We start from the raw sequence: 27339 nt of genomic DNA on the forward strand, positions 1-27339 counted from the left end.
AGAAATGACATTTGTATGAAACGTCTAGAAGAGGCCAGTCCACGGAGACAGAGAGCAAATGAGTGATTGCAGGGCCTGGAAGGATGGGGTTGACGGGGGCTGCTCATAGGGATGGGGGTTTCTTTTGGGGGTGATGAAAATGTTCTGAAATGGATGGTGGTAATGGTTACACAGCTTGTACATACATTAAAGCCATCAAACGATACACTTTTAATGGGCGAATTGTATAGTATGTGAGTTGTATCTCAATAAAGCATTTTTTAAAATAGCCTTGGGCTGGGCGCAGTGGCTCATGCCTATAATCCCAGCACTTTGGGAGGCCGAGGCAGGCGGATCACCTGAAGTCAGGAGTTCGAGACCAGACTGGCCAACATGGTGAAAGCCCGTCTTTGCTAAAAATACAAAAATTAGCTGGGCCTGGTGGCGGCCACCTGTAGTCCCAGCTACTTGGGAGGCTGAGGCAGGAGAATTGCTTGAACCCGGGAGGCAAAGTTTGCAGTGAGCCGAGATCGCACCACTGCACTCCAGCCTGGGCAACAGAGCAAGACTCCATCTCAAAACAAAAACAAACAAAAAAAAAACCCAAATAGACTGGGGATCCCAGACCTAGGGATCTCATGGACTAATAAAATTAATAAAACTTGGCACTGACCACACGTGTGTGCATGCACATACACACATACAGTCTTCCTCTTTGGAGCAGGGATGTGGCGTCTGTCTTCCCCCACACCCTCCTCCCCTGAGTCTACCAGGAGTTGGCTTTCTCCAGAAAGCACTCCAGCTCCCTGGAGAAAGCATAACAATGCAGGATCTCATTAGGCTATTCAGCGGTGGGCTGTGAATCCCCATTTATTTGGAAGAACCCTATTAAATTTCCCCCTTTCATCCTTCCCCATTAACTAACTAAAGCTTTAAAGGTGGTGGCTGCGGTCCAGGGAAATTCAGGAAACAATGGCATTTTCCCAGCCTGGCCAGTCCTCCGAGGCCCAGTCTGCTTGAGCCCCTTGAACTGCTCTGAGATGCCATGTTCTCCAGGGCCCCCTGGGAGTGGGGGATGCTGACATCACAGGCCCAGGCACAATAGTACTTTAAATCCAGACCCACTGTGGGCTTGGAATTCCTGGCCCTGGTAGAGAAGACACAGCACATATGCAGGTTTCAGGGCCTGCTTTTTCAGGGACTGTCGTAAATGTGGCCTTAGAAGGATAAGGAAGGGGGGCCCTTTGCCTCTGTTTGATTACCTGGCTGAGAACTTTTGTCTCCACCTTCAAGATGGTGCTGAGCAGGAGATAATCCATAATCACAAAACCCTGTGTGCCCCACAGCCTTGCGTGTCCATTAATATTGACCAGGCTCCCCTGGGAGTCCAGGCCAGCTGCTGACAAAGAAAGGGGGTAAAATCCTTTCACTCCCAACAAGAGTCATGGTAGTGGGAAGAGCTAGGCCAGGGGAGGGACTGGCACCTGGTTCCCTCTGTTTCTGACACACACAGCTCAGCAGACAGTGGTGCCAGGGAACACTGATACCTAGGCCAGGCACTGTTCTAGAACTTTAAGGACTGTATCAGCTCTCTGTTGCTGTGTAACAAAGTATGACATGTTTAGCAGCTTACAGCCACACATGTTTATTATCACACAGTTCAACTGGGCCCTCTGCTCTGGGCCTCACTAGGCTGCAGATCAAGGTGTTGGCTAGGACGCAGTCTCAGATGGAGGCTCAACCGTGGAGGAACCCGCCTCCACACTCACTTGGTTTGTTGGCCAGGACGCAGTCTCACCTGGGGACTCGACCGGGGAAGAACCCACCTCCACACTCACTTGGGTTGTTGCCAGTCAGTATTCATTTGTCTGTAGGACTGAGGGCTGCTACGCACCTTCCTATACAAGTTCGTGTGCGGATGGCTGGATGTTTTCAGTTCTGTTGGCTATATGTCTAGGAGTGGAGTTGCTGGGTTGCAGGGTAACCCTATGTTAGACCGTTTGATGGACTGCCAGCTGTTTTGCGAAGCAACTGCATCATTTTACGTTCCCATCAAAAGCACAGGGTTTTCACATTTCGGGGATTAGTTGCTGACACTTCATCATCAGGAGAGTTCAACTTTAAAAAATGGATTCCCAAAGCCAGAAGCGATTGCATCCACCTGTAGTCCCAACTACCTGGGAAGCTGAGGCAGGAGGATCACTTGAGCCCAGGAATTCAAGGCCAGCCTCGGCAACAAGCAAGACCCTGTCTCTTAATAAAAACATGTTTAAAAAGAGGTTCCCAGATTCTTCTTGGAAAATCAGAAGATCTGTCAAGGTGGGGCTCAATTCCATCAAGGTGATACCTGCTGACCCTGGGAAGGGCTGTGGCTGTCTCCTTGCAGTCTCCTCCACTCAATGCCCTTGCAGAGTTTCCCCTCCTGGCCCCTGCGGGGATGTGTGTTCCAACCTCCTGTCCTAGACCACGAGCCCCTTGAGGAAGAGCAGGAGCCCGTCCAAGCTGCCTTTGCAGGAAGCCTGCTGCCTGGTCGGCTCCGTGTCTGTTGAACAATCTTGTGTGCGTTCCTGCCTCTGGCGCCTTGTGCAGGTGCCTCCCACACCTGGAATGCTGTCCCTCCTGTTCCCACTCCCTTTCAAATCCTACTCCTCTTGAAGGCCCACTTCACATTCCAGCTGCTCCAGGAAGCCCGTGCGGATTTCCTCAGACCTTGGGGACCCCTCCCCTTCTCAAACTCCTATAGTACTTGTCATCTGTGCTCCCATCTCCCCCGGTGGTATTCCCTCTTGCCATCTTCTGTTCTCTACTGAAAAGCTGTGTCCCCCAGTTGCTTTGTAAGCTGTCTGAAGTTACAGACAACTGCTTCAGGTCAAACCCGTATCCCTCCAGTTATTGTGTGAGCTCAGATCACTCAGTTCATCTCTTCCTGCCTCCATGCCTTGTTGGAAGGATTAACTATGCTAATCAGTACAAAGCCCTAGATCAGTGCCTGGCACATAGTAGGTGCTCAGTAAAAAGGGTTGTTTTCTCTTTTGTTCCAGTGCTGAGTTGAGTGGAGGGTGAGCCTCACCACAGCCGTGTTTGCTGCCTTCTTTCCTTATACTCACAGTCCCGCTTCCGGGAGCCATCTCCACCCCAGGAGGGGCCTCTCAGCTTCTCTCTCCAGCAGAACCCTGGCCCCCCAGCTCCAGGAGGGACCAGGAGGTGGACAGGGGTCGAGACTGGGGCATGGCACAGCCCTCCCCTGCACCCCTCCAGCCCATCCCCTGGGGGCTTGAATGCAGATGCGGCCCAGCATGACCGGGTGCTGCCCCATAAGCCGTCCCTCGCAGCAGGAGCCTCTGGGGCTGGCTGGAGCTGCCGTCTGTGCTGCATCATGGACACAGTAGCCCCAAGCCTTCCTCTCTCTAGCATCACCCTGCAGCATTTCCTGAGATGACTCAGGGCAAGGCTGCAGGAGTAGCTCAGTCCCCAGGGTGGGAACCACCTTGGTACAGGCCCCAGGGTACCTGCCGTCCTGATGGGCTTACCCTGGGCCCTGAGTGAGTGGATGAATGAATCAAGTGTGCTGGCCTGAGGTGCCGCCGCCTCCTGGCTCCAGCCTAAGCCGCCGGCATGCCTGTGGGATTTGTGGGGGCTGTGGTCTGGCCAGTGTCACCATATGGATCCCATAAATTAAAGCATTCCCGGAAACAAACGGTAAATTTATACGTCCCTTGCATGCAGAGCTGGTGGGGCCTGCGCTTGCCCGAGGAATTCTGAACCATCCATCTCACTTAGGCACTTGGGTTTTATAGCACTAATCCCTAAAAGAAAAAAAAAACAAAAAACCGGATCAACAGAAAGTTGCTTTTCCACAACCCTGCTGTCCCTGGAGCTCATCATTGGGAAGTGGAGGGTCACCAACCCCCACGACAGGGACCTGGTAGCACAGTTCGTTGTTCAAGCTGGGGCTTAGCTCACAACCTCACCAGACGGCAGGCCCTTAGCCTCCCACACCCAGGGCTCTGAAGCCTCTGGCCTGGGCTGACCTTGCCTGTGACCCTGGGCTCCTACCAACTCTTCCTGGAAAGGGGATGGGCCAACAACAGCAGCCCGTCACCAAGACAGAGAGCAGACGCCGACAGCCAGGGCTGAGGGCGGGGAGCAGGGAGCCTTTTAATGGGGACAGAGTTGCTGTGTGGGATGATGAGAAAGTTCTAGAAATGGATGGTGGTAATGGTAGCACAACACTGGGAATGTACTCAGTGCACACTTGGAAATGGTCAGAATGGTAAATTTTGTGTTCGGTATATTTTATGACAATTTTAAAGATTACAGAAAAGTGGCCAGGTGCAGGGGCTCACACCTATAATCCCAGCGCTTTGGGAGGCAGAAGCAGGCGGATCACTTGAGGTCAGGAGTTCGAAACCAGTCTGGCCAACATAGTGAAACCCCATCTCTACTAAAGAAACAAAAAACAAAATGAGCCGGGCATGGGGGCGGGCACCTGTAATCCCAGCTACTCGGGAGGCTGAGGCAGGGGAATCACTTGAACACAGGAGGTGGAGGTTACAGTGAGCTGAGATCACAACACTGCACTCCAGCCTGGGTGACAGAGTGAGACTCCATCTCAAAATAAAATAAAAAATAAAGATTACAAAAAAGTGAGGGCTGTGGGCATGGGATGACCCCCCTGCAGTGTGGACTGAGTTCATCCGTATAGTTATAACTGGTAGTTGGTCATTCCAAGTTCCATGTAGAGCTAGGGACAGGTAGGCCCTTAGTAACGGGCAGTTGGCGTCGTCACCATCAGCATCCCCATCATCGTCGTCGTCATGGTAGTTCTTGCTCGCCTCGGGACCAGTGAGCCCAGGTGCACGCAGGATGGAGAGGCACGTTTTGCAGTTCCTGCAAAAGTGCCCTGAGGCCCGGGGCTGCACCCTTGCAGTCCTGGCCCTCGCACGGGTCCGTTCCCTTGGCAGGGGGCAGCACCCGGGGAGGGACACGGCTGTCAGTGGTCAGTGGCCAGTGTTGCCAGGTCCCAGGAGGGTCCCACCAGTTCTGTGCTCCCTTTGACTCCCCTTGGTGCAGGGACCTAGAAGAAATATCTGTGTTAGTAAGCCACAGGTGAGACTCTGGCCAGCTTGTGGCGTAGAGCTGGTCACCACCAGGACGTGCACCAAACCAGGTGCCGCCCCACCTGTTCTCCTGCAATAAATGAAGACATCACAATCACAGCCTTCCTGTGTCCATTTTTTAAATTTGTTTATTTATTTTTGTAAAGATGGGGTCTCCCTATGTTGCCCAGGCTGGTCTGGAACTCTTAGGCTCAAGCCATCCTCCTGCCTCAGCCTCCCAAAGTGCTGGGATTACAGGCGGGAGCCACCGCGCCTGGCCTGTATCCATTTTGTCATGTTGTAATCAAGGCACTCCAGTTGCTCAGAGAGGTGAGGGGCCTGCCTGCTGCTCCCCGGCTGGTAATAACAGCTCAGGATCGCACCAGGTGCCCGGCGGCCCAGTCTGGAAGAGAGCATCCCCCGGGGGTACTCAGATGAGGGCCTTTCCCTGATTTGCAGGGTGCGGCTGAGATGGTTTGCCCAGCTCTCTGAGCCAAGTGCCAGGCCCCAGGGGATCTCTGGGCAAGCACCACAGAATAAACCTTGTCCCCACCACCGCCAGGGGACAGGACAAGGCTGGACCTTTGGGCTTAGCCTCAGGCTCCCTCTTAGATGCTTCTGGGCTCCGTGCAGTGCTGGCCAGCTGCCGCGAGGGCTCCAGAAGCTCCAGTTTTGGATGGCCAAGAAGATGGGGCTGTGTGGGTGGGACCCCAGCAGCAGGGGTCCAGCCTGGTGTTCCCTAGGCTGGGCTTGCTGGGCAAGGAAGACACTGGCACTGGCCTTACTGAGGACCTGCTCTGCTGTTGCCCTGAGCCAGCCAGTCTGAGTTCCTGATCACCAAGGCCAGGCCATCGTCGGGGAGGAATGGCACCTATGGCCAGAGAGTCCATTCATGCATCATCCCCTGCAGGCATGGCCCAGGCTCACTGTGTCCACCTCTTTTCCTTTCAGCCTGTTTGTGGATCTCTGGAAGCATCTGCAGCCAGCCACCCTCCCACCCGGGAGTCCGAGACCCGGCCACGCGCCCCCACGGAGACCCTGCCCAGAGGCCCCAGGATGGCCCAGGAGCTGAGGCCAGCACAGTGTCTGCAGAGCAGCCGGGAGGAGGACGGACCAGACCTTACTGGTGCAGGTAGACGCCAGCTCTTTTTGTATCTCTGGGTACTGGGCTGGGATGCGGTTGTCCCAGCAGGGATGGGGGCTCCCAGAGCCGAGTTCAGATACAGTTCCGCCTTGTGTCCTCGGCATCCTAGGGGAGAGACCGGGTGCTGGGTCTCCCTTACTGGAGTTTGGATTTTCTCTTCCATACTCCTTAGGGTTCCAAAACCGTAGTTTCATCAACATCCCTGGTTCTCGATACTCTCGCCTGCTGGGCTCCTGGGCTGCCTTTGTTTGTTTATTTACCTATACACTCTCTTGTCTTCATTCATTCATTAAAAAAAATGATGTTATGGATAGTCTTGAGCCCAGAGGGGGTCGTTTCTTGGTTTTCTCAGATGTCAACACACTGTGTCCCAGGTGCACGTGTGCGCTTCTCTTGGGCTGGGCCACGGGGAACCAGGCTGCTCTGTGCGGGGAGATGGCGCTGCCGTCCTCCCCCTCCCACTCCCGCCAGCCACAGGCGTGCTGTGGACCACACCCCCACTCCAAGGCATCCTCAGACACATCCTAAGGGCTTCTGCATGGTGCTTCCCTGAGGCCAGGCGAGGCTGTGCCCTCCTTGGTTAATCGCCGTGTGTGGACCCTTGAGGCTTTGGCTGCTGGGCCTTGGGGCCTGGGCCAGGTCAGATGCTTTGGCTGGGCTTGGACATGTGGTGACCCCCATGATGCGTTTTTATGGCCTCATCCTGAAGCCACCCCTTAGGCCATAGGTTCGTCAGCAAGACCCTCCAGAGGGCTGTGGTCAAGGCTCTGTCCTGCCCCCATCGCTGCCCCCACAGCACGGGAGACTTGAGACCCCCAGCCCAGCCCGCCCCTGGTGCCAACCACAGTGAGGGCAGTGGGTCCAAAGCACCCCATGTTATTGGGCTGAGCCGGGGAGGAGATGGACAGACAGGGGACTGCTGGGGGCCTGGGGACAGCTGGCCCATCCCCCAAGCCCTGGACTTTGATCTGGGACCTCCATCTGCAGGGCAACCCCAATACCGACCTCTTTCTCTTTGTGTGGTAGGCTCCGGGGAAGGGAAGGGGCTGGCCAGGGGCTTTAGGGACGCTGACCCCTCTGAAGGGCTTCCAGACACTGGCGGTTGAGGTCAGGGTGGTCAGGCCACAAAACAGGCCAGGCAGGGACTACTGTCCCCACCTTGTCTGAGGACCTGCTCTGCCGTTGCCTTGAGCCAGCTAATCAGAGCTCCTGATCACAAAAGCCAGGCCATTGTCGGGGAGGAATGGCTAAGAGCCTTGGACAAGTGAGTTTCCCTGCTCCGTGCCTCAGTTTCCTCATTTGGGAAATGGGAAGAAAGCTAATGGGAGTGCCTGGCTCACGGGGCAGATGTGGGGATTAACTCAGCCAGGACCCGAGCGTGTTTGTGACAGGCCTTGGCACCCTCAGTGTTCAGGGTGCAGGCTGGGGCCAGGGAGTTATGATTTGTTTGCGATTTCTCACGCTCAGCTCTGGGTGGCAGCTCAGGCTGGGTCCACACCCACCTGTCACTCAGGACATCCCCAGGGGAGGCTCAGGCAGAGGAGGACACCAGTGTTCCCCTGTGCCTAGGGCAGGCCGGGTGCCCCTGTTTGGCGATGCGTCCTCCTGGGCCTGGCGGCTCACGGGTCAGTGGAGGGCTCCGAGGAGGAGGCAGCTTGCCTGGTTCTCACCGTTTCTCTCCCACAGCTTTGGGCAGAGCCCTGCCCCAGGAAACCAGAGTCCTCCGGAGCAGAACAAGGCCCAGATGGACCCCTAGGCGGAGTTTGGCTGTGGTTTGGGGAGCAGGCCCACCCACTTCTTATCTGAGGGACCTTTGGCAAATGAATGAGTCATCCTGAGCCTCTGTCCTCACATCTGTAAGAGGGAGCCCTAATAGTAGGTGTTGGTAGAGGTTTCGTGGCAACCTCGTGAGCTGATGCTTGTAAGCTGCTTGAAGAGGGCTGGGCACCGAGGAAGAACCAAGTCTGCCTTTTTCCCACTCATGTTGGGACACATGTCCTCCTCCATCAGTGAAACAGTGTCCTGCAGGCCAGAGAGGCTGAGCAATCTGCCTCCACTCACACAGTAGTGAGCGAGGGGGATGGGGCACGAACCCCGACGTCTGGCTCCCGCGCCGAACTCACCCTCGGCACACCAGGCTGCTTCCCTGAGTGCTGGGAGGCCGAGGAGTTTGAGACCAGCCTGGGCAACCCCCAGGCGAAACTCTGTCTCTACAAAAAAATACAAAAATTAGCCGGGCATGGTGGCACGCACCTGTGGTCCCAGCTACTCAGGTGGCTGAGGTGGGAGGATCACTTGATTCCAGGAGGTTGAGGCTGCAGTGAGCCGTGATTGTACCACCACAGCCCAGCCTAGGCGACTGAGCAAGACTCTGTCTCAAAAAAATTTTTTTTAATTAAAAAAATGTTTTAAAACAATCAATTCAGGGGTTTTCAGAGTGACATTTCCAAAAGGAGCCCTTTTTGGAGACCTTTGGGGATGGGGCTGGTCACTCCTGAGTCCCTGGTCCCGGTGGCCACCAGGTCCCTGGAAAGAACCTTGTCTCATCAGCAGGTCCTTGCTGCAACTCACTGCGTACTAGCGGGGTACGTTGGGGGCGGGGGCCTGAGAGTCTGGGGGTGCCAAGAAGGGTGCAGAGGTTGTGGGGGACCCCCGTGAGTGTCCCTGCAACAACGGCTGACCTGGCAAGCCAGGAGCCCCTGCCCTGCGGCCGGGTGGGGGCAGGTGGGGCAGGGCCGGGGCACGAACCTGCGTCTGCCAGCTGCTCCCTGTCAGGCTGCAGCCAAGTCCGGGCAGCTCCTCAGCCAGAGACCCACCAGGAGCATGTCCCGCAGTCAGGCCCCGCCTGGGCAGCCACTGCTGCTCAGAAACGTGACAGTGACTAATGGTTTATTACACACCTGCCACCTCTCATCCGGCAGGCGGGCGGGCGCTGTCTCCCGGGCCCAGCTGTGCACTGCCAGCTGGGCGGCGGGGCGGGTGCAGGGGGAGGGGGCACGTCCAGACATGCAGACGCACGAGACAGACACAGACACAGTACATACACGCAAACACACAGACGAAAGCAGGCACTCGGAGACACAGCTCACAGACATGGCATAGGCACGGGTGCACGCGTAAGTCAGACACACACACACATACGCAGACACATGGGCAGACCCAGCACACACACAGATACACACACAGAAACCCGTGACACACACACACACACCTGCATAGATTTTTCCCAAGCACACGATATGCACGTGGATACACAGACTTACAAGCACAGGGCCACGTGCAGACAGACACAGACCCTGTCTGCACCACAAACATACCACACACAGCCACACACACAGAAGCCAAACATCCTCGCATAGGTGGATACAAGCACAGACTCACATACACATATGCGATACACATATGGATACATACACAGAGTACCCCCACAAACACACAGACACACACGGGCAGAGACAGACAGAGACAGGCACAGACCCCCCCCACACAAACACACAGACACACACAGGGGCAGAGACACACATAGACAGGCACAGACCCCCCACACACAAACACACAGACGCACACGGGGCAGAGACACACATAGACAGGCACAGACCCCCCACACACAAACATACAGACGCACACAAGGGCAGAGACACACAGAGACAGGCACAGACCCCCCCACACACAAACACACACACACACACACAGGGGCAGAGACACACAGAGACAGGCACAGACCCCCCCACACACAAACACACAGACACACACACACAGGACACACATTCCAAATGCCCATCCCCACCACAGCCCCGTCTCCCTCTTTCCAGGCCACGGCCTCAGGGGCACTGAGCCCTCTCAGCCCTCTCTGCCCTCTCTGTCTCTCTGGCCCCCTGCCATGGTGGCCCCACCCTGGCACTGGCTGGGGCAGGAGCCTTTACCAGCAGTGGGGGTGGCCAGGGCAGGTGGCGCGACTGTAACCGCCCAGGGCCGTCCGTTTCTGACCCCCACTTCCCTGGAAATGCCTCGTACGTGGGGACAGCAGCTTTTGCCAGGGAAAGGAAGCAGGTACAGGAGGAGCCTGTGCCGACCTGGGCCCTGGGCAGAGTCCCCCAGGGAAACACGTGGCCGTCAGCTGCCTTGGTCTCCCCCAGAGGCGGGGGTTGTGTGTGTTGTGGAAGGCGGTGATGAGTTTGGTAACACTGGGTTCCCTGCCGTCCCAGACTCCCGGGGCAGCCCACAGAGCTTATCAGACTTGCGTCACTACGGTCGGATAGGGCCACTGCCGTGTCCAGAGTGGGGCCACTCCCGGGCAAAGGCTCCTGGTGGCTGGCCAGGCTCTCACCATGTGGGCAGCTTTGGTTCCCAGGTGTTGCATTTGAAGTGGCCGTCTGGGAGGTGGCCACTTGCTGGCTGCCGGGAGTACAGCTCCAGGGCTGGGGACTCTGCCCTCCTGTGAAGGCCATGAGGAACCCTGGGGCTGGGATTCCTCTGGCAGGCAAGGCCCAAACGGACTGACCAGGCATCTTCAGCTGCCGGGAGAAGGGTGCAACCGAAACCTTGTGATGGATGTCCTTCCCTCGTGGGGCGGGTGAGCAGTTGAGCTCATCTCTTTCCAATACTCTTCGGCCTTTAGTCAAATGAAGACCCATTTCTCATGTGCCATCGCATGCAGTATAAAATCTATTGAGAGGACACTCCTAATTTATCACCAGTGGATGGGAACAGGCTTCCCTAGAACAATTATCTTTGTGTTGTCTGCAGCCACCTTGGGAGAGAAGCAGCACTGGTTGGTGATAGGAGGGAGGGGCTTGGACTCAGGTCCAAGTTTCCAAGTCCTAGCATTACTACTTCCCGGCCATGGAGCCTTCTCAAGGTTCAGGACCTTCCCTGGGCTCAGCTGCTCTGACTACTGAATAGGCATGGTAAAAATAAAATCCTTCTGGTAGCGTGGTGTCAGTGACATTGGATGAACATTGAGAAGGCACTGAGGGCTGCCATGCAAGGCTGTGCAGGTTGCACACTGCACAACTCCCGGAGGCACCATTCTTATTGTGGTCTCTGTGAATGTGCTTTCTGCATGGCCATTGGGGCTGCCGTGTGGCACATCAGTGGTGGCCCTGGAGTAGTGCCACGTGGGCCCTGGGTATCCTTCCTGAGCTGTGAAACCGTTTCTGAAGTGGTTATTGATATCTTTTTTTTTTTTTTTTTTTTTTGAGATGAGGTCTCACTCTGTCGCCCAAGCTGGAGTGCAGTGACATGATCTTGGCTCACTGCAAACTCTGCCTCCCAGGCTCAAGCAATTCTCCCACCTCAGCCTCCCGAGTAGCTGGGATTACAGGCGTACTCCACCATGCCCAGCTAATTTTTTTGTATTTTAATAGACATGGGGTTTCACCATGTTGCCCAGGGTGGTTTCAAACTCCTGAACTCAGGAAATCCACCTGCCTTGGCCTCCCAAAGTGTTGGGATTAGAGGCGTGAGCCACCGCACCCGCTGGATATCATTATTAATACAGATAGCAGATGCCACAGACCCTACCGCTGAGTTTGGGGTGGGGTTGCAGAAAACCAGGCCAAGATTGACTCTCTGCTTATGGCCATGTTCCAGGGGCTCCTCCCTTTCTCACCTGCCATACTGGGGTGTTGCCTTGCTTGACAGGGGTGCTGGGGCTGATTGCCCCTTTGGGGCAGTCTATGGGTTCCTTCTGCCCCAGTAGCTGTCTGCTTTGCCTCCACCCAGAGATCCCTTGTTCTCAGCAGTGCTTGCTCCAGGCTTTGGGGAACCACTGGGCCAGGCCTTACCTCCAACCCTGGCCGACCAGGACTGGACTTGCGTTCCCTATACATGGGTGTCAGAGCCTGTGGTGTCTCCACCTCCTCCTGGCTCTTCCCATGGGGTTTCTCTCTCTGTTCCCAGGGCAGGGCTGATCCCAGCATCCACACACAGCAGAGGAAGGAGGGAGCGAGGGTAATCAAGAGAATGAAAGCACTGAGCTGTTTTCCCACCAGAGGGTGCAGTTGCAAAAGCCTGATTTTCCCATGCTGTGCCTCAGTTTACCCGTGGGTACTGTCACCACCAGTTGCCCTCTGTTGGCCACCTGAGGAAAGGAAAGCCAGCCTCTCCCTGTGGTCTGGGACAGTGGGTGGGGCGGGGGAGAAGAGGAGGGGGCTGGCAGGGTGGGTGGGAGCTGCTGCAGAAGACACAGCATGCCCTCCGTCTCTACTCTGGGCTGATCCAGAAGGTCCCTTCCCTCTGCCTGCTCTTGTGACTTCTGCCTTGCCGATCACCATGGCAGGGGCTTACTTAAGAAGAGGTCTGTGTTTGTTTCCCATGGCTGCTGTGACAATACCACAAACTTCGTGGCTTAAAACAACACTCATTACTCTCACACGCACACATAGTTCTTACAGTGCTGGAGGTCAGAAGTCTGACGTTAGTCTCACTGTGCAAAAATCCCGATGTGGGCAGGGCCTGTTCCTTCTGGGGGCTCCAGGGGAGAATCTGTTTCTGTGCCTTCTGCAGCTTCCTTGGCTGGAGGCCGCCCGCATTCCTTGACTTGCGGCCCCTCCCTCCACCTTAAATCCAGCAACTCAGCGTCTCTCAGACCCTGCTTCCGGGTGGCACCTCCTTCTCTCTCCTCTTCTCCTGCCCCCCTCTCCTACTTAGAAGGCCCCTGTGACTGCACCAGGCCCACGTGGCTAATCCAGGCCCATCTCCCATCTCAAGGTCAGCTGGTTAGCAACCTTAATCCCCTTTTCCCAGGTAAGGTGGCACGTGCACAGGCTGCAGGGATTGGGATGTAGACATCTTTTGAGTCCGTGCTTAGCCTGCAGCCACAGTATTTATAAAGTCAGCTGCATTAGTCAGGGCAGGCACCCCCGGTGCCGTAACAGACAGTCCCAGGGTTCATGGTGGGTCTTCCTGATTGAGTGACTCAGGATCCCGGATTCTCTTCAAGCTGTGGTCTCTGCTTCCTTGGGACTTCCAGAGTGCCCTGATGTCCCATCACCAGCGGGCACGGGCAACAGACACAGGAACACCCCTGGATACTCTCCCGCTGTGGCCTTCCAGTGACCCATGCCGTTCCTGCCCACTTCCCGTTGGCCTGGACCAGCTCACACCCCACCCAGACGCACGGGGAGCAGGACAGCAGCCACTCCCCAGCAACTCTGTCCCCGGCAGAAGGGGCCGAGCCCTGCCATTCTGCTGGGCGGTTCGTCCATGGTCCCACAGTCCCTGAGACGGCACGGGTCAGAGGCTGTCTGTGCGCTGCCCAGGCACTTCCCACTTCTACATGCTCTCCCTGGGTCCTGTGTACTGTGGTTCTGAGGCAGCCCCTGGCTGTCTTCGAGGCTGTCTTTGGAGGCCTGTCCTCAGGCCCCTGCAGCTGCTCTGTAGGAAGGGCTGGGAGCTCTCATCTTTGGGGCAGCCCTTTGCAGCCAGTGACTGGCAGCTGTGGGGTGGGAAGCCCCTTACTTCTGGAGAGAGGAGCCACCCACCCTCCAGAGCTCCTCTGGGACAGGGCTGGGGTCGGGGCTGTGTCTGAAGTCACGCTTGCATCCTCACACCCGCCCCCAGTATCCCCGGGAGACCAGCCTTAGAGATCACGGCGTCCTGGTCTCCCTGTCTGCTTCTGAGAAACCTGCCTGAGACAGCACACGCCCAGGGCCATGGCCTCAGTCTGGTCTATGCAGACAGCACTTCAGACGCACCACTCCTTCACTCCTGCACTCCGCCTCCACCTTCACTCTTCTCTTTTCCCTGTGGACAAAGGGGCAGCTGGTTCACCTGGCTCCTCCCAGGTCAAGCTGGGAACACGAAAGAAGGAAGCCAGCAGAGGGCAAGTACAGACAGGTTCATTGCAGAGCGTAGCCTTGGGGTTCAGCCCCTCAACCTGAGGCTGAGGATCTCTTGGAGCTTGGGGAGCGTCCTTGGGGACCACATTCAGTAGATGGAACCACAGGGCCGTAAGGGTGCGTCCATGTGCATTGCCTGGAAGGTGAAGCTTGTAGAAAGCAAAGGTTTGTAGAAGGCGAAGGTTTGTAGAAGGCGAAGGTTTATAGAAGGTGAAGGTTTATAGTAGCCTACAGCGACTTCATTTCCACTCTCTCTCTTCTAGCCATGTGTTGAAATCAGTTATTCGTTGGGAATGACTAGGCTGTGGATGGCTTTCAGTGTGCATACCTGGACTCCCTCTCCCTGAGTTCCAAACCTGGCTCTGCTCCTTTGGAGCTTCTGCTATGTGGCAGATCGCCTCCCTGTGCCTCAGTTTCCCCATGTGTCAAACGGGGATGACGGGGTTTCAAGAATCAGAGTCCACATCAGATGCTTGCCTGGCACACGGGAATGTGTGAGCTGGGCCTGCCCTGGCAGCGACAGAGAGCTGGTGACCACCAGAAACCCTGGCCCTGGGACGGCTTTTGTCTCTTTTTTGTTGGGCAAATGGGCTCCCAGCCGGGCTTGGGCCTCCACCGCCGGGAAGGCGGGACTGCGCTCGGGTACTGGGCTCCGGCCTCCCGAAGTCCTTGGTAAGCCTTGCCTGTAGCGGCTCCGCTGCCGAGTGCTTTGACACCAGGCGCTCCCAGAGCTCTGCCCCCACTGCCAAGCGGCAGCTGCTCCGGAGGGCACGGGGGGCTGGATTTGGCTGTGGCTTCTCCAGCTCTGCACAAGAGCCCCCCTTCCCTGGCCCTGCTGCAGCATGACTGCCTCCTGGCTCGTGTCACCCACTCTGTCTCTGTCTCTCTTCATACGTTTCCAGCTGAGCTGGGATCCATAGTCTGTTTCCCTCTCCACGACCAATCTATTTATCTTCTCTGGAACTTCTTGTAATGCCGGGAGTGCAGAGCTTACAAGTTGGGGCAGGAAGCTTTAGAAGCCCAGGCAGCCCTGAGAGGCTCTTTCCTTGTAAGTGGGTCTCTCCCCAGGAGCCTCTTGGAATATTTAGCAGGGACTTTTACCCATGCTGGGTCTAGAGACCCTCCCGCCCCTCTGTTTCCTGCCCTCCTACTTAGACTGGGATCTGGTTTCCCTCAGCTGGTTCCCTTGCTAGCGTGTGACTCTGTGTGTCTGTCTGTGACTGGTTTAGATTTGTATGAAATAAAAAAGAAAAGAGAATTTAACTTGGGCAATTGAAAAAACAATACACCAAGCATTGAATAAAAGCAGATCTTTATAACTGGCAAAATTGCTGTTAAGAGGGTCTGTTTACCCTAAACTGGAATTTCTTTCCCAATAAGTTGGTGATAAAGATTTTAGATGGAAAAGACGAGATTGGCTGAGTAGCAGGAGTGGCTGTTCTGGAGCTTAGGGTGGGGTGTCCCCGGGGCAGGGCCAGGGACCCCAGGGACAGAGCCGTGTCACCAGGCACAGACCGTCTCTGCAGGGGCCACTGTGCCTTGGCCCGCCTGGCCACCACCCTGCCGTGGCCTCTGCTCACCCACTGTTCTTCATTCCCCTGACCGGTCCAAGCTGATAAACTGTCACCAGGGACCTCGGCTGGTCCGTTTGGCACCACTGTGGGTTTACGCGGTTTGAAGAGTGCCACCCTTGCCCTCACCCATGACCTTCTAAGTGGGAGCAGACACCACGGGAGAGCTGGGGATCTCTCCTGGCTGGCAACTTCACCACGGCTCCGATCTGACCGAGCTCTGATTGTCTGCCGGCACGTCTGTCTCTGCCGCTACAATGCCGTATGTGTGCCTTTGTTCACAAGTGTTGATTGAACACCACCTGTGTGCTAAAGACCATGCTGGGCATGGGGGGCATAGCAGGGCACACACCAGACACAACCCCTGCCCCGAGAGCAGATATTCAAGAGGAAGGCAGATAACTCCCGAATGAGCAGGTAAAGGAGTGATGCCGGGTGGTGAGAGGGCCACGAAGAAACAGGCAGGGGACAGAGAGACCTGAGGGCGTGGCTTTAGACGGGTGGTCGCAGAGGCCTAAGGAGGTGGCATTTGGCAGAGAGTTCCAGACCAAGCGAAGAGCATATGCAAGGGCCCCGGGGCAGCCAGTGCCTGGCATGCTTACCCTCACCATGAAGGCGGGGACCGTGGCTCCCTGTCCTCGTGATCTCTCCAGTGCGTGGCACAGTGCACATAATAGGTGCTCAGTAAACTTTTGTTGAGTGAATGTGAGCTTTTTAGTCAGCTGTTGCTGGGAGACATGACCAGGGGAGGGCAAATGTAAAGAGGAAATAAGATTCTTTTTTTTTTTTTTTTTTTTCCGAGATGGAGTTTCACTCTTGTTGCCCAGGCTAGAGTGCAATGGCATGATCTCGGCTCACTGCAACCTCTGCCTCCTGGGTTCAAGTGATTCTCCTGCCTCAGCCTCCCAAGTAGCTGGGATTACAGGCATGTGCCACCAAGCCCGGCTAATTGTGTTTTGTATTTTTAGTAGAGACGGGGTTACTCCATGTTGGTCGGGCTGGTCTCGAACTCTCGACCTCAGGTGATCCACCCGCCTCAGCCTCCCAAAGTGCTGGGATTACAGGCGTGAGCCACCGGAAATAAGATTCTTACAAGCACGGAGGGTGCGCGTCTTCCCGAGTTTCCTGGGTCAAGAGCTGATGTTCCAAGCAGGTTCTTACTGCATTCCAGAAGCTTCATTCTCTCTCCAGGACCCAGGGTGGAGTCAACCATCTGGCCTCTCTGGGCAGAACTCTTTGTGCTGGGAGAGTTCTGAAGGTCACTGGAGCATCGGAGGAGAGCCTTGGCTCTCCTGCCGCCTGTTTCACAACTGATTAGATCAGCCCTAAATGCCTTCTCTAAAAGATACAATTCTGACCAGGCACGGTGGCTCCTGCCTGTAATCCCAGCTCTTTGGGAGGCTGAGGCAGGAGGATCGCTTGAGCCCAGGAGTTGTAGATCAACCTGGGCAAGATAATGAGACCACATCTCTACAAAAAATTTTAAAATTAGCTGGGCGTGGTGGTGCACACCTGTAGTCCCAGCTACTCAGGAGGCTGAGGCTGGAGGATCGCTTGAGCCCAGGAGTTCGAGGCTGCAGTGAGCCATGCTTGCATCACTGTACTCCAGCCTGAGTGACAGAGTGAGACCCTGTCACTAAAAAACTAAACTAAACTAAAATTCCATTTGAAATGATGATGAAGTTTAAAATAAAATTCCAGCAACTGTAGACCACCCTGTTTTCTCTAGGGGGCTTCCCAGACTGATTAGATTGGGGTCAAGGGCACTTCAAGGTCACCCGAGAGTGATGGGTCCCCCTCCCTAGGGCATGGACGGCTCTGGGAGGGCTGCGGGCTCCCTGAGTTGAGCACATGGAGGGGGTCCTGCCCAAGCAGCTGCTGTGAGTCGGGTGCTGTGTCTGGAAACAGCACTCTTCCTAGTCATATTATTTCTGTGTTGCTGTAAGAAGTCACCGTGGACTTGGTGGCTTAAACCAAAAGCTTGTTCCCTTACAGTTCTGGAGGTCAGAGCCCTGACTCGGATCTCACGAGGCTAAATTCGAGGTGTGGGCAGGACTGGCTCCTCCTGGAGGCCCTAGGGGAGAAACTGTTCCCTCATCTTTTCCCACTTCTAGGGGCCGTTTCATCTCCTACATCATTCTGACCTCTTGCTGCTGCCTTTTTTTTGAGACAGGATCTCACTCTGTGGCCCAGGCTGGAGTGCAGTGGCGTGATCACGGCTCACTGCAACCTTGACCTCCCTGGGCTCAAGGGATCCTCCCACTTTAGCCTCCCAAGTAGCTGGGATTACAGACATGCGACACCATTCCTGCTTAATGTTTGTATTTTTGTAGAGATGGGGTCTCACTCTGTTGTGCAGGCTGGTCTCAAAATCCAGGCTTCAAGCAGTCCTCCCTCCCAAAGCAGTCCTCAAGCTTCCCAAAGTGCTGGGATTACAGGCATGAGCCCCCACTTGCTCCTGTTCTCACATCTCCCACCACCCACTCCTGCCTCCCTTGCAAGGACCCTGTGACCCCATTAGATGCCCCTCGCCACCCTGGACAGTCCAGGATACTCTCCCCATCTCAAGATTCCAACTCATGTCTGCAAAGTCCCTTCTGCCATAGAAGGTGACATTTTCATAGACTCCGGGGATTAGATGTGGACGTCTTTTGGGGCTGTTATGCAGCCTAACACACTCTCCCTGGCTGGGCTGAGCTGGCTGAGCCTGAGGGGCGTGGTGTCCATGCTCACAATTAGTCATTTATTGAGCGCCGACTGTGTGCCAGGCACTGTTGTAGGTGCTTTGCTGGGACTGGTCCCTCAGCCTCACGGTCATTCTGCAGGGGCAAACTGGGCCCCACTGCCTGGCTCAACCCCAAGGGTGCATTCTGCGTCACCCCGGGTCAGTCCCCTCCTTGGGAACACGGGGCTGATGACGGAGCCCCCTTGAGAGGGTGGCCTCAGTTAGTAACTCCCGAGTTTAGAGCTGGGAGGGCAGCCCTCTAGGTGGTCCCTGCGCCACCCTTGCGGGGCAGGGGCTGGATACTGGCCGGACCCAGGAGGTTCTGGGTGCAGTTTAGCGTTTTCCCAGGAGGTGGCGCAGTGAAGCCCTGGATGCACAGCCAAAGCCAAGCCCTGGGGCTGCCCCCACCCTGTCCCTGGGCACTGGGAATGGCACTCACCCTAGAGACCCAGCCAGGCTCTGCCCCTCCCCTAGCCTCTGAGCAACGCACCCCAGGAGATGGCCAACTGACCCCACCTTCCAGTGCACTGGGCGTCCCTCTGCCTCTGCCTGCCCCTCAAGCAGCTAAGCCATGGTCCTCACCTCTGGTCACTGCTCAACCCGTCTATCCCCAAATACACTAAGATGGGCTCTCACAAGACGCAGAGAACACAGCACGGTGCAACCCAGGAGGGCTCCAGGGAGGAGGCGCACTACTTGAACTGGGCACCCAGACCCTAGGAGGGCAAAGGAGGCCCCTCAGGGGAAAAGAACCTGAAAGTGGATACAGCAATGATGGTGGGCTTCCTCCTTTCCCCTCCCTCTTCTCTTCCCTCCCTCCTTCTCTCCCTCCCTCCTTCTCTCCCTCCCTCCTTCTCTCCCTCCCTCCCATGGGGACGGCTGCTTCTGCCTGGAGCGAGTTCTAGGCCCCAACCCAGGGCTGGACACTGCAGAAGGCCTGGAGTGAGAACCCAGTGTGTGCTGCTGGATGACTCTGCGAGCCCATGGGTGTGACCTGGGCGGGATATCACTCTGTGTGACCACCTTTGGGAACTGGGTTTTCTCTGCTGCCCACGGAGTTGACAGGGAAGGCAGGAAGTGGCTGCCGCAGCTCCCAGCTCCCACTACCCTCCGAGCCAGCCTGGCTCCTGTGTACAGCTTGCAGCAGCCTGTGCCAGGGTGGGGCGGAGGCTGGGAGGGCAGGAGGAGGGCCTGCGCCCGGCGGTGGCTGGCTGTGGCCTGCTCCACACCCTCGCGCTCTCTTCTGGGGAGTTTGCGCCCCACACTGAGTTGTGGGCCTGGGCCTGGAGGGAGCCGGAGGCGTCCTCTTCTCCTCCCACCCTCGCTGCTCCGCCCCCCTCGTTCCTTCCCCAGGCCAAGGGGAGCTGACTGATGACCGAGGCCACCGCTGCTCCTCGGGCTACCAGGCCAGGGCAGGGGGGCCAGGGGCTGGGCCAGGCAGTGCTCATGGACCAGAAGAGCCCCAAGTGGAAAGTGCTCCTGCCGGGTGAGTCCCCGGGGATGGCCCCACGCAGCGCCATGGAGGAGCCAGGGAGTGGGTCTTGGGACAGTGCCCAGACTTCCAGGACAGAAGACGGAGATAGCAAGGAGGGACAGAGGGCCGAGCTGTGACTCGGTGAGGGTGTGCGTCCTGGCTGCAGGGGCTGTATGGGTGCAGATGTGGAGCATGAGTGCTGGCCCAGGGGACGGTGACCTCAGGGACAGGCATAATGGTCCTAGTCTGAGCCCCAGTGCCCAGGCGCAGGCGTTAGGATTCTAAGGGGGCGTGGCAGGGCCTTGGGGCCACAGCTGACAGCCTTCTGGGCACTCCCTGGGCACATCCCAGCTGCCTCTGCTGCTGGCACCCCTATTGTACTGTGCATGGACCCTTACGGGACACAGGCTGGCACAGAGCCTGGCACCAGACACCTGAGGGTGAGCTCAGGGTGCCTCCCATCCTCCCAGCTCACTGGGCCCCTGGGTACTAGGTGGCCCTCTGAGGTCACTGAATCCCACCCTCCTTTCCCGTGGAGGGGGAAACTGAGGCTGCTCAGTAGTCCCGGATGGTGCCAAGCCTAGAACCTGAATGACCCTCTCCCAAGCTTCCTACTGCTTCTGGAAGTGGGAGGAAAAGGGCAGGAGGGGCTGGGAGAGGAGCCAGGCAGCCCTGGCTGAAGGAACGGGCAGAGAGGGAGAGGAAGCGTGCAGAGGGGCTCCGCCTCTGCAGAGCTTCCAGGAGGGCACAGGTGTGTGTGGCACAGGTGACACCAAAGCCCTGGTGCTCCTAGTTCCCTTACCAGGTGGGGTGTAAGCGGCTTCTCACCCTCCCCTTCCTCCATCATGGCTGGTTTCACAGCTAGCGCGGGACTGTGGCCCGGACCCTCCACTCCCTGGCTTGGGCTGTGGAAGATGGATTTGATTTCATTAAGAAGGAACCCCTGGCGGGCGCGGTGGCTTGTGCTTGTGAGATCAAGGTGGGCAGATCACTTGAGCCCAGGAGTTTCAGAACAGCCTGGGCAACATGGCAAAACCCCATCTCTAAAAAACAACACAAACAATAAGCAGAGTATGGTGGCTCATGCCTGTGGTCCCAGCTACCCTGGAGGCTGAGGTGGGAGGCTCACCTTAGCCTGGGAGGTTGAGGCTTCAGTGAGCCGAGATCATGCACACTGCACTCCAACCTGGGTGACAGTGAAACTCTGGACTCTGTCTCACAAAAAAAAAAAAAAAAAAAAAAAGAACACACTACCCTATGGCAAGCACACATTAGCAAGTAGTGCGCACCTCGTGCCCTTCTGCACGTGGGCTGGCTGCGAGGTAGTGAGCTCCCCATCCCTGACCATATTCAAACAGGATTCGTGCAACCCGTCAAGGAGTCTGTGGAGGTCAGAAGAGACCATATTCCTTCTGGGTCTTAGATTCCAGATCCCAGTTCCTCCATGCACCTCATCTGTACTGTAATGAGGATCCTAGCCGCCAGGATTTAGTGAGCACTTACTGTATACCAAGGTTCTTCACCACCCTCGGTGGGCACCAGTTCACCAAATCCTCACCACACCCTGGGAGGTGGGCAGGCTCCTCCCCCTTGTTGCAGATGAGAAGGCTAAGGAGGAGGGGAAAAGTGACTTGCTGACGGTCGTCCCGCCAGTCAGCTGAGTCACAGAGCTGGGTTGCAAAGCCAGGCCATGTGGCACAGAGCTTTCATCCTGACCTCAGTTACAGGAAGTCCACCGGTTAGGAAAGTGTTCTCTAAACTGTGAGACATGCAGAAGTTCTCCAGAATCACCTGCACGGCTTTGACTGTGAGGGCAGTGGGCTGTGGCCTTCTAGGCCCAGGTCCTCTGCCAGGACAGGCAGGTGTCAGCAACAGCAGCAGCCAATGTGGCCATGGGATGCCGGCTCCTTGTCCACCAGGGTGGGTGCCAGGCGCCTGGTAGCAGGCCCAGCTGCCTCGAGGTGCTCCCAGGGATGGATCGCTCCATGCTGGGATCCCCCACTCTCACGCGCTCTCCCTCCACCCCTTTGTCTCAAACAGCCAGGCTGTTGGGGTGCCTTCTCTGATGTCTTCTATCATGGGCTGTTTGTTTGGGTGTCTCTGGTGTCTTCTCTTGTCAAACAGACAAAAAATGGAAAGAAAGCAAGGGAGGGAAGAGCAGAGGAGGGGAGGGGACGAGAACCTCTCCCCCTCCGCTGCTTTCCAGCTCAGCCTGTCTCCCCATTTGTGAAGTAGGGATGCTGTGGCAGCTGCCTCCCGGGGCCCCTGGGAGAATGGGCTGGGGCACTGTGTATAGCAGGGATTCAGTGACCGCATCGCTACTATGTGTCCTCCCAGCCTGGAGTGAGTGTCTGGGAGGGCCACAGGTATGCTGGCCACGGCCTGGAAGAGTCCGCTCAGAGCAGGTGCTCCAGGGAGATTCTGGAGTGAACAGGTGTGTGGCGGGTGGGTGGAGGGACGAAAGGGCGAATGAATGAGCGCTGGCCGCCTTCTCCCGGCAGGCCTGGGGACCCTGGATCCCCGAGGCAGCCCAGGGCAGGGTGATTGTGCTCCTGCCCCACGGTGCCCCACGGTTACCACCGCCACGGCAGGGCCAGTCTCTTTGTCTCTTTCATGAGCGGCAGCCTCCAGGCACCCGCCCGGCCTCCCTCCCCGCTCCCCGCAGGCCCTGTCAGGTCAGCGGCGCCTTATCCATCGCCCCACGGTGGCTGCATGTGCGTATGTGTGTGGGTGTCCACATGTGTCAGGTTCACATGAATCTGTGTACCTGTGTCTGTGTGCACATGTGGTTCTCAGTGTGTATGTGTGTGGTGCTGTATGTGTTGGTGTGTGCACGCGTGGCCCTCAGTGTGTAGTGTGTGTCAGTGTGCATGTGCGTGGTTGCATGTGGCCCTCGGTGTGCAGTGTGTGTCAGTGTGCCTCTGTGTGTTCACGCGTGGCCCTCGGTGTGCAGTGTGTGTCATTGTGCCTGTGCATGGTCGTGCGTGGTCCTCGGTGTGCAGTGTGTGTCAGTGTGTATGTGCGTGGTTGTGTGTGGCCCTCGGTGTGCAGTGTGTGTCAGTGTGCCTCTGTGTGGTCGCGCGTGGCCCTCGGTGTGCAGTGTGTGTCATTGTGTATGTGTGTGGTTGTGTGTGGCCCTCCGTGTGCAGTGTGTGTCAGTGTGCATGTCTGTGTCTGTGTCCATGTGCATTTTTGTGTGCACATGTATGATTGTGTGTGGGTGTGTGGCTCTCAGTGTATAATGTGTGTCAGTGTGTGCGTGTGTGTGTGTGTGTGTGCGCGCGCGCGTGCACAGGTAGCTCCTAGCGTGTTGTGTGGTGTGATGTACAGGTCTCAGGGTGTGTGGCTGCCATGGCCAGGCTGAGGGCAGTAGCGTGGAGGCAATAGCTTTGGCAGCCAGCCAGGCCCATGACCCTGGAGGGGGTAGGGGGTGGATGGGCCCAGTGGATGCGTTCGAGCTGCTGGTTTGGTGAGGGCTGTGGAGGAGGGAGGCGCCCACGCAGTTTCGGGACCCTCGCCAACCTCCTCTTGGGCTGCCTTCTGCCTCACTGAGGACGGACAGCCCCCATCCTCTGTGGGGTGAAGACAAATGAGGGACGAAGACAGTCCTTCCTCTCGTCACTCCTCCTGGTGATGGTGACATTGTGCCTTCCCTTTGGGGCCGAGGCCATCCCAATTGGGCACCCCTTTGCCCCCGAGTGTCATGGTAGAAAACAGGGCTGCGGCCCCAGCGTTCTGGGTTTTGATCCTGGCGCAGCCACTCGCTGCTGTGTGACCTGGATGAGCCACCTAATCTCTCTGCACTGCTGCCGGCCATCAAGGGGAGTCAGCAGCCCCTCACGGGCTGGGACTGTAGGATAGAGTGAGTTGGGGTGCGAGGCCCTCAGGACACCCAGCTCAGGCTGTGCGAGCTGCCGGCACCCTGCCTGTCACTGCCACTCTTGTCATTACTAATCCCCTTGCCTGGGAGCTTCTGGATCCCAGTGTCACCTCCCAGGCCCCAGGTGCCTTTTCGGGCCACCCAGAGCCCATGCCTTGGCCCTGCCAAGTCACCTCACCTCCCCCAGGTGAGGGGCAATGCAGGAGTCTCAGATGAGCAGGACCGCAGCCATGAGGGAGGTTCCCGCCTCATCTTCACCAGGCCCAGGGCGCCCATTAAGGTGGGACCCAGTCCAGCCCCCATATCTGGGAAGCAGCGGGTGTCACAAAGAGCCACAGCTGGGCAGCACCAGTGCTGGTGGGGTGCAGGGCAGCCGGATGCCAAGACCCTGAGACCCCCAAGCCTGCCTGGGGCCATGCAGGGCTTAAGCGGTGGGTTTGCTGGTGTTCAAGCAGGTATAGGGGAAGCTGGGGTGGAGACTGGAGTTTGGACACCTCTGACTCTGTCTTCCCTCGCCGGGCACCTCCCAGGCAGCACCCAGAGCGCCATGAGCCCAGGCTGGGCCAGCACAGGCGAGGGAACCACACAGGCCTGCCTGTCTCTCCCGGGGGCAGCTCCGTAGCCACACTGCCCGCCTCCAGTACCCTGGCCCCTGTGACTCTCTCCCCTTCACCAAGTGAGATACTGGAAGGGAAAGAACATGTATTAAGTGCCTACTGCATGCCAGCTCTCGTGCGCATGTCAACTCCACCATCAGCCCCATTTTATAGGTGAAGAAACAGGCTCAGAGACGTGTGAGGTTTGCCCCAGGTGTGCCGGGGGCCTGGCTGCAGCCCAGCAGTTCTGAAGCTGGAATTCCCACAGGGAACCAGACCCCACACTCCAACTTGGCCTCCCTTCTGCTATGTGGATTTCTCCTTGGGCCTGAGCAACTGCCCCCAACCCTCACGGTCCTCACCCCCGCCAAAGAAGGTACAGACTCCAGGCTTCTCTCTTTTCATCCCCAGCCCAAACAAGCTCTGCACCCGCTGTTCTGCCTCCCCTGGCAAGCAGAACATGGTGAGATGGCCGCAGAGAGGCCCAGGAACCAGACCCCACAGGCACATCTGAGCCTGAGTTTCTCTCTCCGGGAAATGGGGATGATCGAGGAGCTCGACCTCGGTTAGTCCTGGGGAGGTGCCTGGGTGCCTGGCACAGTGCCCCTGCCCGTTAGGATTACTGCAACTGTTGGAACCCTGCCCTTCTGCTCCCGGCCCATTAGGGCTGGGCTGGGGTGAGTTCGGTGGCTGCGCGGGCTGGTCTGGCCACCTCCTGGCTCCTTGATGGCAGATTTGGGCACAGAAAGAGCCTGTGGCCGGGTGGTGTGGGCAGAGTGGGCTGGGGGCTCTGCCCTCCCTGCCTGCCTGCCGGGCGTGTGGTCCTGGCTGGAGACACAGGAACACAGCCCTGGCTCTGTTCTCGAAGTCGTGGGAGGCGGGCTGTCACCACAGTGGCTGGGAGCTGGAGGCCAGCCCAGAGGGAGAGAGGACGCCATGTCTGTGCCCTCACCCTTCAGCACAGGCCCTGCCAAGCCACAGGTGCCTCTGCTGCACAGGGAGTGAGAGGGGGCTTTGCTGGGCAGAGAGCAGGGGGCTGGGGCTGGGAGATGGAGGTGGGGGCTGTGAAGGGGAGGACAGGACAGCAAGGATTGCTGGGAAAAGAGGCTGTGTCCGTGGTGCCATAGGCCTCTCTGCACACCCCTCCGCACACCGCACACCGCACACCCGGCCCCGCGTTACCCGACGGCCCCTCCTGTTGTGCAGGTTGCACGCTGTGCAGTCGCGGGTGGCCGTTTGGCCAGAGTTGCCCAGTGTGAGTGACCCAGGCCTGCCTCCCACCTTCACCGACCACGTGTTGATTTTTGGTTCTGGAATTCTGATCACCTTATTTTTTATTGTAAGCCTGGAATGTTGACAAGGTTGCCGTGTGTGCACAGTTGTGGATGACGGGGTACCCCTGGTAGGCCGCACGTGGTCTGAGGATTTGGGGGCTGCAGGAAGCCGTTTCTGTCCTCAGGGGACAGAAGAACATCTCTCTGTGCTTCTCTCTGGGTGTGTCACGCATCCCACTCTCCACAGGCATCTGTGCGGTGTCTGAATTGCAGGGTGCCATGCTGCACAGCCCCCAGTGGTTCGGGTCTGGCCTGTTCTCCCCCTTGGCTCCTGGCCCCCCTTGCCAAGAAATAAAATTCTTAACTCAAGGACTCTGGTTTGGGCTGCTGGCTCCCTCAGATCCCTGGGGAAAGAGATGCCAATGGAAACCTCTCCTGGCTGTGTGACCTTGGGCAAGTTACCTACCCTCTCTGTGCCTTAGCTGTCTATCTGAATGAAGGAAGGACTGATAGAATATGTGGTAGGGCTGGAGGCAGTTAAATGAGATGATGATGAGGGCACTGTGAGAAGGAACAGTAAGCAAGCGTAAGCAGCAGTTCTCACCCCACATGCCCTGGGCAGAAGCCACTGCTTCCTGCTTTCCTGTGACACCTGGAGGTCCTGCAGGCAGGGGGCCGGGGCTCCCCTCTGTTGTTCCCGGGAGTGGCCGGCACCAGGCCTAGCCCAGGGTGAGCCCCAGATTTGTAAACATGGGCAGGGTTGCAGGAGGAGGCTCCCTGCGGGTGGCCTTCCAAATGGCCCGGCATCCACATGTGCAGGAGCTGGGGGGAGGGCATGGGCCCCCAATCCTCGTCCACACCAGCATCCACCTCCTGGTACAGGGGAAACCGCAGGGCCTGGCCGCTCCTTGGGCAGCCTCTCAGCCTTATCTTGGCCTTCTGCAGACAGCCCTGTCTCCAGGAAGGGCTCTATCGGCTCCGTCATCTGCACCCCGGGCTTGGGAACACATGTGGTCAAGTGGATTTTTCTGGGAATGGCAGCCACGTCTCTTGGAGACAGACCCCCACCCCCATCCCCCGCCACCACCCGGTGCCAGGGCTCGGGGCAGGGCCCTGGGCCAGTGGGGGCCAGCTTGGGGCAGGGCTGAGGAGGGCAGTGGGGGTAGGGCTCCCTCCTCCGTGGCAGGCTCTAGAAAGGCCAAGCTTCTAGACTCCCCTCTGGGACTCTGTGATGTTCAGGTTCCGCCAGCCCCTCCCTCAGCTGGGTCGGTGTCCTCCATGCTGCTGCCTGCCCATCCACTCCAGGCCAGGCGGCTTGGGGCAGCCTCCTGGGGGCAGTCTCCTCTCTGTGCCAGGAGGCAGTCAGGGGTCCCAGCCTGCGCCTGGCAGTGTGGGCATGTGTGGGAGGGTGGAGGCAGGAAGCCTTTCACTTAGGAGCTGTGAGCCACGGGAAGTCTGCTCAGCCTCCCTGACTTCCCCCAGGGCCAGAGAGACCCCAGGCTCTCCCTCTCTATAATCAGCACCATGACAGCGTACACATGCAGCGCTCACCAGACAGGGCAGCCCTGCTTGGCGCCCTTCGTGCTGATTGATTTTTTGAATCCTCCCATGGCTCTCATGAGGCAGGCACAGTTGCTGACCCATCTTAGAGACCAGGAGACCGAGGCCCAGGCGAACCTTTGCCCCCTGCAGCCCTGTGCCTGCCCTGAGTCTCTGGGCAGTGCCAGGAAGGCAACTTGGGGATGGAAAGCACCTG

The 27339-nt window shown here is 57.5% G+C and overlaps 1 protein-coding gene across 6 annotated transcripts in view, besides 7 other annotated features; it reads left to right on the plus strand.

The window, feature by feature from the left end:
- Nucleotides 1-27339, plus strand: part of GSE1 (Gse1 coiled-coil protein) — a 506689-nt gene that overhangs the window by 181922 nt on the left and 297428 nt on the right. For 4 of the 6 annotated variants that reach the window (XM_047433837.1, XM_005255859.6, XM_005255860.4 and 1 more), the window contains exon 2: nucleotides 6030-6210. In XM_047433837.1, the coding sequence (XP_047289793.1) occupies nucleotides 6030-6210 (181 nt within the window). Of the gene's footprint in view, nucleotides 1-6029; nucleotides 6211-19696; nucleotides 19846-27339 lie in introns of those variants that run through there. The other 2 variants (XM_011522965.4, XM_047433828.1) reach the window with 1 other exon arrangement.
- Nucleotides 2774-3477: an enhancer, noted in NCBI's record as "H3K4me1 hESC enhancer chr16:85387813-85388516 (GRCh37/hg19 assembly coordinates)". NCBI's record gives its function as "activates a minimal SCP1, AML or CMV promoter by ChIP-STARR-seq in primed H9 embryonic stem cells {active_cell/tissue: H9 hESC(primed)}" and the evidence as "EXISTENCE:reporter gene assay evidence [ECO:0000049][PMID:30033119]".
- Nucleotides 3478-4179: an enhancer, noted in NCBI's record as "H3K4me1 hESC enhancer chr16:85388517-85389218 (GRCh37/hg19 assembly coordinates)". NCBI's record gives its function as "activates a minimal SCP1, AML or CMV promoter by ChIP-STARR-seq in primed H9 embryonic stem cells {active_cell/tissue: H9 hESC(primed)}" and the evidence as "EXISTENCE:reporter gene assay evidence [ECO:0000049][PMID:30033119]".
- Nucleotides 4415-4915: an enhancer, noted in NCBI's record as "H3K4me1 hESC enhancer chr16:85389454-85389954 (GRCh37/hg19 assembly coordinates)". NCBI's record gives its function as "activates a minimal SCP1, AML or CMV promoter by ChIP-STARR-seq in naive H9 embryonic stem cells {active_cell/tissue: H9 hESC(naive)}" and the evidence as "EXISTENCE:reporter gene assay evidence [ECO:0000049][PMID:30033119]".
- Nucleotides 12889-13515: an enhancer, noted in NCBI's record as "H3K4me1 hESC enhancer chr16:85397928-85398554 (GRCh37/hg19 assembly coordinates)". NCBI's record gives its function as "activates a minimal SCP1, AML or CMV promoter by ChIP-STARR-seq in naive H9 embryonic stem cells {active_cell/tissue: H9 hESC(naive)}" and the evidence as "EXISTENCE:reporter gene assay evidence [ECO:0000049][PMID:30033119]".
- Nucleotides 13516-14142: an enhancer, noted in NCBI's record as "H3K4me1 hESC enhancer chr16:85398555-85399181 (GRCh37/hg19 assembly coordinates)". NCBI's record gives its function as "activates a minimal SCP1, AML or CMV promoter by ChIP-STARR-seq in naive H9 embryonic stem cells {active_cell/tissue: H9 hESC(naive)}" and the evidence as "EXISTENCE:reporter gene assay evidence [ECO:0000049][PMID:30033119]".
- Nucleotides 19294-19519: a silencer, noted in NCBI's record as "fragment chr16:85404333-85404558 (GRCh37/hg19 assembly coordinates)". NCBI's record gives its function as "represses an EF-1alpha promoter that drives an FKBP-Casp9 reporter gene in an ReSE screen in HepG2 liver carcinoma cells {active_cell/tissue: HepG2}" and the evidence as "EXISTENCE:reporter gene assay evidence [ECO:0000049][PMID:32094911]".
- Nucleotides 21179-21692: an enhancer, noted in NCBI's record as "H3K4me1 hESC enhancer chr16:85406218-85406731 (GRCh37/hg19 assembly coordinates)". NCBI's record gives its function as "activates a minimal SCP1, AML or CMV promoter by ChIP-STARR-seq in naive H9 embryonic stem cells {active_cell/tissue: H9 hESC(naive)}" and the evidence as "EXISTENCE:reporter gene assay evidence [ECO:0000049][PMID:30033119]".

This window comes from Homo sapiens, chromosome 16, assembly GCF_000001405.40.
Source record: "Homo sapiens chromosome 16, GRCh38.p14 Primary Assembly".
NCBI lineage: Eukaryota > Metazoa > Chordata > Mammalia > Primates > Hominidae > Homo > Homo sapiens.